We start from the raw sequence: 11,417 nt of genomic DNA on the forward strand, positions 1-11,417 counted from the left end.
GAGGGTGGCCATTCTGTAGATATTATTTTGAATGTTTAGGCAACACTAGTAATCTCTTGTCAAAGAACCCCCAAATATGTTCAGAAGAACATATCCCTGTCACTTCCTCCTTCACTCATTTTTATTTTCTCTTTATTTCCATCCCATTCCTGTACCTCCGGTCCCACTTGTCTTGACCTCCTCAACTGCACGGAGCTTAGGCTCCAGTTTATGGGGCTGTTGAGGGCTATTTTGATAGCAGGTTTGAGCAAGCACCTGGGAACTCCGAAGGGTGAGGGACCCGAGGAGATCCCAGGCAAGGGGCTTGCTCTACGTACTGCCCCAAGAGAGCCTGAGAAGATCTGGTTGAGAAAAGTAGTGCTGCTCGGGTCTCTGCCTAAGGGAGAGACCCTTAGGCATTAGACTCACCTAGACTCACCCCTAATGAGTCTAATTAGACTCATTAGACTCACATTAGACTCACCCCTGCCTGATCCCACCCACATCAATTACATCAGGATCCACCAAGTCCCATCATTTTGAGTGGGAACTTCCTGTCTTGAGTCTTCTTCTGAAGACGTTTTCTAGACCCTGTGATAGGAGAAGATTGACATTCCCTTCTGGGGATGGTCAGATGTCCCTTATTTGATCTAGCCGTATAAGTGACTTAGAAACAACTCTACTCTTCAGATTTAGTGGGATTAAAAATGTAATCAACCAATATTAAAATATTCAATAATCAATTGGAACCAATGACAGTCATGCACCATGAACTGAGACAAGTGATTGATTTATTCCTCAGGAGCTGAGGAGCAAAACCAAGTGTTAAAGTGAGCAGAGATAGGCTGTTATGTAGTATAGTGCAACTCCTAAAACGGCAAAGAATAAAATTTGTCTTAAATTTAGCTGAGTTTTCTGTCTTTGCAAATGAGTCAATTTGGACAAAACTTGTGTTACCCTTGAATTTCCCTCACCACTTAAGGGAAATCAAAAGAAGTCACATAATCGGTCAGAAAGAAATTCAAGGAAGCATTTACTTCTGTTTCATTTCTTCATTTTCTCTTTTTTTTCCCCCTTCAAGATTAGTATTAACATTAACATGGCTGGGAATTCTTCTGTAGACATTTGCTTTTTGGCCAGCAATGTGGGGAGCAGGATGTGAAGGTGGATAAGAACAGAGACAGCAGCCATGGCATGAAATATAGAGCCCACCTGCAAGGCGGCAGGCAGTGTTTGAAGTCTTCTTAGATGGAGGCAGGCATGAGATATTTCATGTCTTCCCAAGTGGCTAAAGAACAAATGATCTGTGAGAAATGCAGTCCTGAATTTAGAGAGTCATGATCCTAATTCTTCTTCATTTCTTGGCCTCATCTATTCCCTTTTAAATTTTGAAACTTGATTCATTTTTCATGCATGAATTCCCAAAGTAATGAGTTGTAACAGGCTTATTTCATTAGGAACATTCCTTCTGAATGTGCAGTGCTGCTGCCACAGAGCATTTATTGTTTAATGAACAAATGGAGCAGACCAAACAATTGAAAACCAGTTAATAATTCAATTAAGGCTTCTCCAATGCTAAAAATGTCTAATTTGTCATTCCCTAAAGTGATTTTCAATATCGCCAGAATCAGACTAAATTAGAACTCTACTCTGTGTCCCCTTCTCAAACCTAGCAAACTTCTTTAATATTCATAAGTCAGGGTCAGCTTCTGAATTACTGTAAACTTATGTAGAGGCTCAAAAACAGTTTTTTATAGACTCAGAAAAACACTGACGAAAGACATGAGGCAGCCTTTGACATTCAGTCTGGGACCTTTTAAAGAAAACTTTCAGTAGAGATGCTAGAAAACCCAGGTTCTTTCCATATTACTTGGTAAAAATCACAAAGGAATATTTTATAAATGTTTTCCCACCAACTTGATGCAATTCACTCTTCTTTTGAGCCTAGAACTTCATTTGAACCTCTTAGATTTTGCCTTGTAATCGTGTATTTGTGTTGTTCCCTTTGTTTGATTCTGGTCTGGGCATCCCCAGCGTGTTAGTACATTGCTCAATAACGTGAATTTGTTTAATTGAATTAAGCTTGGAAGAGTTTCCAGGCTGTCTGCATTGCCTCTGATTTGCAATTACAGCAAAGTGGTGTTCACTAATAGGAGAGGAGGGACACCTGGTGGCAGTTGGGTACTTCAAGCGAAGGAGGTCCATTTGAAAGAAAGAAGGAAAGTGAGAGGATAGAGTATGTGTGGGATACTGGAGGGAGAGCAAATGGTGGCATCAGACCTAGAACAACTGGGAGCTGCAACTGGAGGAAATGGCCATGAGTAGGCTAAGAGGGCTGTGTAGACAGTGGTGAAAACTGTGGACTTTGGAATTGAAGGACCTGTCTTTGAATCTGGCTCTGCTGCTCACAAGTTGTGTGAGCTTGGCTAAGTTATTTACCTTTCCTGGGCCTTGGTCAGCTCCTCGATAAAATGGGAATAACACTTATCTCACAGAGTTGCTGTGATGATCGAACAAAATGATGCCTAGCACTTGGTAAGCACTGGATTTATGAGAGTGGCTAATCTTTTTATTTGCAGAAAGAAGGGGGAAAGCAGAGTCTGAGGTCCAGACAAGACCTTCTGCTGGCTCTAGAGAGGGGCTGATGGTTCTTTTGGATTTGAGGAATTTTCCTCAGAAGGGAGCTCTCCAATCCCACTTTTAGGAAGGTCTGCACAAGGTAACCTTATCTTCAGGCCTCTTCTGGGAAGAATCTTCTCGTGAAGCACTAGGAATTTATTAAGCTCCAGACGCTTTCATCATGTAGACGTGCATCCCTCATGGACCTTATCTCTAAGTGGGGAAGCAAGGTTACCACACAATGGCAAAATAAGAAAGAAGACATGGTTAAGTGCCCAAATTTATGGCCCAGAAAATAAGAGCTGGAATGGTTCAGGGGAGGGCAGATATCTCCTTGAGCAGACAATAAGCTAACTGCTATCCCAGGAAAGCCCTCAGCCCCATGCAAACTGGGACAGTTGGTCACCCTACCTTTAGAGAGAATAACAGAGCCATCCAGAGAGTTTCTCTGGATGTCTCTACAGAACTGCCTACAACCTCACCCTAACTTTTAGCTTTTCCTCAAGACTCACATCGAGGTAAACTGCTTGTTTTAAGAACTAACCTCTGTCCTTAATTCAGTCTCCTATTCCTAACCCGGGACCATGTTCTATCTAGTCAATTTGTCCCTTTCCAACTGCTAAAACATTTCTCAAATCCATCCCTTCCTCCCTATCCCTACTGTCTGTGCTCTACTTAAGCCCATAATTGTGTTTTGTCCACATGATCACAACAGACTTCCCACCGGTCTCGTAGACTCTGGGTTTGTCTCTTTCGAGTCCTCATTCCACAAGGCCATTAGAATAACCTTCTTAAAAATGTAAATCTATACCCTCCCTAGTAAAAAATCTTTAATAGTTCCCAAATCCTGCTTTGTAGGTTCTTTATAGCATGCTATTTCCACGATGTCTTTGTTCAGAGAGTCCCTTCTCTTTGGGATATTCTTTCTAATCCCTTCATTTCAACATCCCTCCTGCATGTATCCAGTCTTCTCAAACAGACCCTCTAAAATGTTTTTGGTTTTGCTTCCTCAAGGAGTCCTACCCTAATATTTTCAGGCACCAGATGGACTTTGGAGTCAGGTGAACTGGATTAGAATCTCAGTTCTGATTCTTAAAAGCTGTGTGGCCTGGGAAGGAAACTTAACCTCTTTCTCAGTTCCTTCCTCTCTGAAAATGAGGGTGATAACATTGACCCTATAGTGGTTGAAAGGAGATCACGTGTTTGTGAAACACTTAGCATAACTCCTGGTTCACAGTCAGCATTCCACTGGGCTGTAACCACCACGAGGGTAGAGACCATGTCTCTCTTTTTCATCCTTGAAACCTTAGTGCCTAGCAGTGTCTGGCAGACAGAAGGCTTTTTGAATAAATGAGTAAAGAAACAGTAGCTTTTAGGAATGTATTTATATACATATGTATTTCCTACAGTTTCCTCCTTATTAAAATTGCTTGGGGATAAGAAACCTCTAATTTTCCTAGGCTTTCTCTTATTTGCAAATGCATCTGTTTACTCCTCAAAGGTGGATTGTGGATTCTTCATGAAGAAGAATGATTTAACCTGGAAAGATTAGAGATGTCAGTTGACCAGGGAAAGCTTTTCTTAACTTATAGTGACCTTTGTGGAGGAATCCATTGCTTAGTGGACTCTGATGATGCAGCTCGTCCAGTCAAGGTCCACTCTCCTTGACTTTGCAGCTGCTGTCCTGGGGAAGGATGATGAGGGGGAGCTCAGTCAGCAGGTGAGACAGAAAGGGGGTCTTGCAGGAAAAGGAGGTGAATAGATTGTCCTTGTTCTTGCTTTACTCTCTACTCAAATTTGTCTGGTTTTTGTTTGTTTTGTTTTGTTTTCAGATGTAGGACAAAAGAGACATTTTGCTGGTAGTGGTGCAATTCTTTTTTTTTTTTTTTTTTTTTTTTTTGAGATGGAGATCGCAGTGGTGCGATCTCGGCTCACTGGAACCTCTGTCTACTGGGTTTAAGCTATTCTCCTGCCTCAGCCTCCCCAGTAGCTGGGATTATAGGCACCTGCCACCACGCCTGGCTAATTTTTTTGTATTTTTAGTAGAGACAGGGTTTCACCATGTTGGCCAGGCTGGTCTTGAACTCCTAACGTCAAGTGATCTGCCTGTCTTGGCCTCCCAAAGTGCTGGGATTACAGGCATGAGCCACTGCGCCTGGCCTGTGGTGGAATTCTTTACAGTCTGAATTTAGTGCAGGATCAGCTATGTGATTTGTGGAGCCCAGTGCAAAATGAAAATGCAGTGCAGGCCCCGTGTTTATAAATTCTTAATAATTTCAAGATGGCAATAGCAGAATATTAAACCAAGCACAGTGTCCTCTGCAACTGCACAGGCTGACAACCGAAGAAACTGCTCTAGTTTAGAGATTTGACAGACAAGAAAGTCTGTGTGTTCCTGACATTTTCTGCAGTGTTCAGCTCAATTCCTGACTTACGAAGTTTAGAAAAAGAAATACCCAGCCAGTAAGTCCTCTCTTCTTCATAAAGCTCTGCTATGTTCCCTGTGATTTACACCGTCTTGGTCTTTTGGTTTGTTTTGCCCAAGACCCTGAACGTCTTTGCATTATGGTTTCTCCAGGTTTAATTCTTTTTTTGTTGTTGTTTTTTTTTGAGACGGGGTCTTGACCTGTCACCCAGGCTGGAGTGAAATGGTGCTATCATAGCTCACTGAAACCTTGACCTCCTGGGCTCAAGTAATCCTTCTGCCTCAACCTCCCAAGTAGCTGAGACTACAGGTGTGTGACACCATTCCTGAATAATTTTTTAAAAGTTTTTTTGTAGGAATGGGGTCTTGCTTTGTTGCCCAGGCTGGTCTCAAACTCCGGGGCTCAAGTGATCCTCCCGCCTCAGCGTCCTAAAGTGCTGGGATTACAGGTGTGAGCCATTGCGCCACTGGGCTGTGCCACCACTCCGGGTTTAGTTTTTTTGTCTGCCTGCTCTCATCCTTTTTGTTAGAAATTTGAATGTGCACTACATTCTTTCATTCCTACATTCTTTCTTCTTTGCATTTGTTGTCCTTTAAACAGATTTTCCATCTTTAATTCATTTACATTTTTTTTAAACTGTCCTTCTACGGTCATTTTAGTTTTCTCTGGATGCCTTCCAATTTTCATTTTTTCCTCAGCAAATAAAGTGTTTAAAATGGAGTGTGGTGATCTAGGAGCCATGGATGTGAAGGCAGAGCTTAGGCTGCCTTGATCTTAGGAGACCCAGCTTATAACTGGATGGTTCGCTAACCCCCCAGCAACTGTTATGCTCTAAATTAGACCCACTCTTTTCTCATGGTTGGCTTCTGACCCAGTATACTTGGCATTTCCTTTTTCAAGCTTTTCCTACATCCATTTTGTATCAGCTTCCTAGGTGTAGTTTTACTTCCAATTATTTTAGCACTCACCTTTAGTTGAATCTTGATTGATTTTTGACTATTTATTTTCTTTGGCTCCATACCAACTTATTCTTTGGTCTTAATTTTTGACCTAAGAAAAGAAAGTCCACCCATATTGGGTCAGATATTTAGCCCAGGATTCTGCTTTTGGCAGTCAAGGATATTTTATGGATGAATATGGTGGTTTTCCATAGTTCATCTGAGTGATTAGAAATTAAAAACACATCATGGATCTATAGCATATGATATTAAATTCTTCCTCATAGCTGTTTATTTCTGTATTTTATTATAATTTTTGGCTTTCTGACTTCCCTCTCTTTCCCTTCTCTTCTCTATTGCCTCAGTCTGTAATTTCTAAAGCAGGTTTTGTGCCTTCAAGACTATTGCCTGGGATTGGGTAATCAAACTAAACAAAGCATTGGAAAATCTATATCTATAAAGAAACAGAATTGTTGTTTATTCCTTGTAAAAAAAAAAAAAAGCAAACTCAAAATCTACTAAAAGAATGGGAGTTGCTTCACAGACCTGTTGGAAGAGAAAAGACATCATTTCTGAGTTTGAATGACTGCCATAGATAGGTATGGATATGAATTTATCATGCTTAATATGAAAGGACAATTAAAACTGTGCCTGATGTCACCCATTTGTGTCTAGATCTTAATGTTCTCAACACTAAATGAACATAAAAATGGAAAAAGTCCTAACAATGATCTTCAGTTCAAATATACTGTTTATCTGGAAATGGTAACATTGCTGAAGTTTTTGGTACTGAAATTTACATTTTTTTCATTGATTAAAGATGTTTGAACAGCTCATTCTCTTAAAAGTAAGTTTTAAAAGTGATCTACATATGTAGTTAATGGCTAACAGCTAATGTATTCTAAATTCTAAAGTGGATTTAGAATAAAGAGCAGAGAGTTTTTCCACTAGGTGGTAGGATTTTGCCATGGTCATGTCTCGAAATGTTGCGAGGAGGAAAAGTAACTTAAGAAGAGTAAAATTAAGATAGAAAGTGACTGTAATAACACCACACATTGATCAAATAGATTTTCTTTCTTGGCACAAACACAGAAATTTACTCCTAATGTATTCTTGAAGTAGGCCTAAAATAAGTTCAAGGATTTTTAATTTTCGGGAAAAAACTGGGCATTAAAAGAACATTTTTAGAGACTTAGTTTGTATTTTATATCCTTTTATACTTGTTGGATTTTCTTTTATCATGTACAAGCTCTGCCAATTCAAAAAATCAGTCTGAAACCTCTGTGAGACCCCAGTTCTCTCTGCTTATAGGATGTCTTCTAGCAAGTACATCATGTCTGCATTTGTCAGAATTTTTTTTTTTTTTTTTTTTGAGATGGAGTCTCACTCTGTTGCCAGGCTGGAGTGCAGTAGCGCAATCTCGGCTCACTGCAACCTCTGCCTCCTGGGTTCAAGCAATTCTCTTGCCTCGGCCTCCCGAGCAGCTGGGACTACAGGCGTGCGCCACCATACCCAGCTAATTTTTGTATTTTTAGTAGAGACGGGGTTTCCCCATGTTGGCCAGGATGGTCTTGATCTCTTGACCTCATGATCCACCTACCTCGGCCTCCCAAAGTGCTGGGATTACAGGTGTGAGCCACCGCACCTGGCCTTTTTTTTTTTTTTTTAATTAACAACTTCTTTTTTATGTTAGTGCCTTTGTGGCAAAAAAAATCTTGGAACTGAAGAGAGGAAAATCTCAAAAGGTATTCTTTATTGTCAAAACAATTTATTGAATTTCTAGTTGCTTCTAAGGACATTTGTATTCCAATGCTCAGCCTTCCTTGTTGATTTAAATGTGATTGTGTTGCTAGTAATACTTATTTTACATATCATAAAACACGCTTTGATTCATTTGCCCTAGTTCTAACCAGGAAATAAGATTAGAAAATATTCCTTGTTCTTTAGGTTTTTACTTTGACTATGGAATTAAAGTGTTTACATTTCCATCTAGTTTCTCTGAGTAAAATCTTGACTCCTATGCTAAATTCCTTTAATTTTTCCTTATCCAGTAAATGAATCTTCCTGATCCTTTTCTTATTCCCCTGTGTGACACCCTGGCCCTTTTCCCTACATCTTTTGAGCTCCACAAAGGCCTCTGTTGAAAAGAAGATTTAGCTGTAGCCTCAATAGATTTGGGTCAGACTCTATGATTAATATTTAATTTCAGCCCTTAGATAAAGGTCGGCCAGACGTTGTTTCTCTCTCTGAGTCCCTTTGTGTCTAAACTCATAGTGTAATTTGCCGTGTAGAGCCATAGCCCTGACCTTGTAACCTTTCTGCTATCTGGGTCTTTCTTCGAGTGCACAGCTTGTCTTCCTTTCATGAAAATTTCACAAATTGAAACCTGATTTTGTAGAGGAACTGGGCTTAGGCTCTTGTTAACCCTCACGCTGACCCGGGGTGCTTTCCTGCATGAAGATGACACACCCGTTCTACAGGGTGCATGTTCTGGGCTGCTTTCTCCTGTTGTGGCAATGCTTTTGGCAATCCTTCTAATGCTCCTGTGGCACTCCCTTACTGATAATTTGCTAGGTAACTATTATTTATTGCCTATTTTGTGCCAGGCCCTGTGCAGAGTGCTGGGGATATATAGGTACATAAGGTAAATGTGGTCTCTGCCTTTACAGGCTTCATATCTAGTGTGAGGTAGAGATGAGCAAGGCGGCAATGATAATTCAGTGTGGAAATTTAGGATGGGAAAAGTACAGGATGCTCTGGGAATCCAGAGAAAGGGAGTCTAATCCAGGCCTGGGTGGTAAGAGAAAGCATATCAGTTACTAGTGCTAGGCAACAAATTTCCCCAGAGCTTAGTGGCATAAAACCACCAATTTATTACACTTACAGTATTTGTGGGTCAGGAATTTGGGATGGGGATAGTGGGGCAGTTCTTCTGTTCTATGCCACCTGGGACCTCATCCAGGAAGACTGGAATGGCCGGGGGCTGGCATCATGGGAGGTGTCTTCCTTCACATATTTGGCCCCTGGGCAGGACCCACACATGAGATCTGGATTTCCTCACAACCTGACAGGCTTGGAATGGTTGGATTCCTTACATGGGAGGCTCACAGCTCCAAAGAGCATGTGGAATGAGAGATATTGTTATGGCCATCTTTTGAAAGCCCAATATGTACAGAATATTTCCCAGAAGAATTGAACATTCAGCAGACCTAACGAATGTGTAGATATTAGCTGGGCAAAGAGGAGGGAATAGTGTTTCAGGTAGAAAGAATAGAATGAATAAGAACCTGGAGTTAAGAAATAAAGTGTAGTGAATTTGAGGAACTGGATGAAGTTCGGAATAACTGGGGCATCATCAAGTAGGAGGAGGAAGTGGTGCCTGATCAGGCTGGACAGGCAGGTGTTGATGGTGTGCGGGAGGCCGGTCCCACGGGACAGTGGGAAATTATTAAAAGTCTTTAAGGGAGAATAACAAAGTAGTATTTGTGCTTTAAAAAAATTACTCTGGTTACACTGTGGAGAATTAGAAGGGCTAAGAGGTGAGGCAGTAAGACCAGCAGGCAGGAAGTTGAAAGCCAGAAGATCAGCTAGCAGAAAGTTATAAGCCAGTGGTCAGATGGTGATGACCTCTTGGAGCAGGAGGACTGGGAACAGAGAAGATATTTAGAGGCTCAACTGGGCTTGGTGATAATTAGAAATGCGGGTGAGGGAGAGGGAAGAGTCACACATGGTTCTCAGTTTTCTGGCTTGGGCCGCTGGGTAGATAAGAGTGCTGTTCACTGAGATGGGGGAATACTGAAAAGAAGCAGGCTTTGTGGGTGAGGAAGTTGATAAATTCCAATTTGAGGTTGAGCAAATTCTGACACAGACAGCAAATGTCCAGTGGGCAGTTGAATATATGGGTCTAAAGTTTCCAATCTGTGTTTTGAATCCATGCTTGACCTGATAACTCATATGTGAAACTGGTATTATGAGGAAGTATAAACTCGACCAGCCAGCACGGACCCAGCCAAGTTCTGTCTTGGTTAAATTTCACTGTGGTAAATTTTCTTTTCCTGATTTTCTAATATCACAGAAATAATACATACTTCTATTAAGTTTTAGGATCAAATAGCAAATTTGAATTACATGTTTCACTTGCCAAGTGGTCTTGGCTGGACACATAACTAATTGATTAACTTAAAAGAAATTAGCCAGGCATCGTGGCTCACGCTTGCAATCCCAGCACTTGGGAGGCCGAGGCGGGAGGATTGCTTTAGGCCAGGAGTTTGAGAGCAGCCTGGGCAACATGAGGGGATGTCAGTGGGGCTGCAGGGATGTGGAGATGCAGGGACTATTAGGCAGTATTCAGTCTGATGGGGCCTGGGCTCTCAAAATGGTGCCATGCTGCAGCTGTTTAGCACTAAGGTATGTGGGATTCAGTGTGAGCTCCCTTTCTGGAGCACTGCTACCGTGTGGCCTCTAGAGAGCTTCCTATGCTAGTCTCAGGGACCCAAGAATTGAGGGGCTCTCCTGTAGTTAAGATTGCTGGAGTTCGTGGTGGGAATTTGGACTGTTGGGGATGTCTCACTTACTCTTTCCCTGCACTGGGGAGCGTTTCTGGGATCCCAGCTGGCCACCTCACTTCCCTCTCCTTTTATGCCTCTGGTGTTTCCTGTCACTTCTCTGTTTAATTTCAGTGTTCTTTTAGATGTTCTATTTGCAGTGTGATTATCTACTTGCTATTTTGGTTGTTCTTTGTGGAAGAAGCGAGTGCTGGATGCTTTTCATTAGCCATTTTAAAAGCCCTTGGGTAAGGTTAATTCTCCCCTACACAGTGGGTTTAGGGGCAGGGTTAATGAAGAAAAAGTCAAAAGTAACTTGGTGACTTAAAGTCTGGGTGATTGAGAGAAGAGAGGTGCTGTTGTCAGAAATGAAGCCAAGAAGTAGATCTGAGTTGGAAGATAGGAGGACAAGAAGATGGGAGGATGATCATAGATCTAGTTTTTGAGTTGAGATGATGATCTACTATCCCGAATGCTTGCTGATCTCAGAATGGCAGTGGTGGTGGAGGAGGCAAACCTGCACAGGTGGCATGGGTGGTGGTGAGGCCAGTGGCAGAGGCGGGAGGGGCAGCCAGGGTTAAACAGGTTCCTGAAAAGAGAGAGTGGATGGAGTTTCCAGAGCATCAGGAACCACCACTTACCCTGCCTGGCAAGTCTTGGATTAGGAAAACAACCTCTGAACAGCCTACTTCCCACTACCAGGCTCTTTTGGGAAACCTACTTTTCATAGGTGACAAGGCTGTCACCCTGTTGGGGTCATTTCTTCATGCTATAAGAAAGTCTTATTTACCATGCCGATGTTAATAATTTTCTAAGCAATAAAATCAATATCATCATTGAGGTTTATTTCACTCAGGGTATTTTTGTCCCTATTTCAATTTATAATCTTTTCTATCTCAGTGGTATCTGCC

The 11,417-nt window shown here is 41.7% G+C and overlaps 1 annotated feature.

Annotated features, from left to right (window-relative positions):
* Nucleotides 2,820-3,033: a silencer, noted in NCBI's record as "fragment chr7:112136767-112136980 (GRCh37/hg19 assembly coordinates)". NCBI's record gives its function as "represses an EF-1alpha promoter that drives an FKBP-Casp9 reporter gene in an ReSE screen in K562 erythroleukemia cells {active_cell/tissue: K562}" and the evidence as "EXISTENCE:reporter gene assay evidence [ECO:0000049][PMID:32094911]".

The sequence above is a fragment of the Homo sapiens genome, chromosome 7, assembly GCF_000001405.40.
Source record: "Homo sapiens chromosome 7, GRCh38.p14 Primary Assembly".
Lineage (NCBI taxonomy): Eukaryota > Metazoa > Chordata > Mammalia > Primates > Hominidae > Homo > Homo sapiens.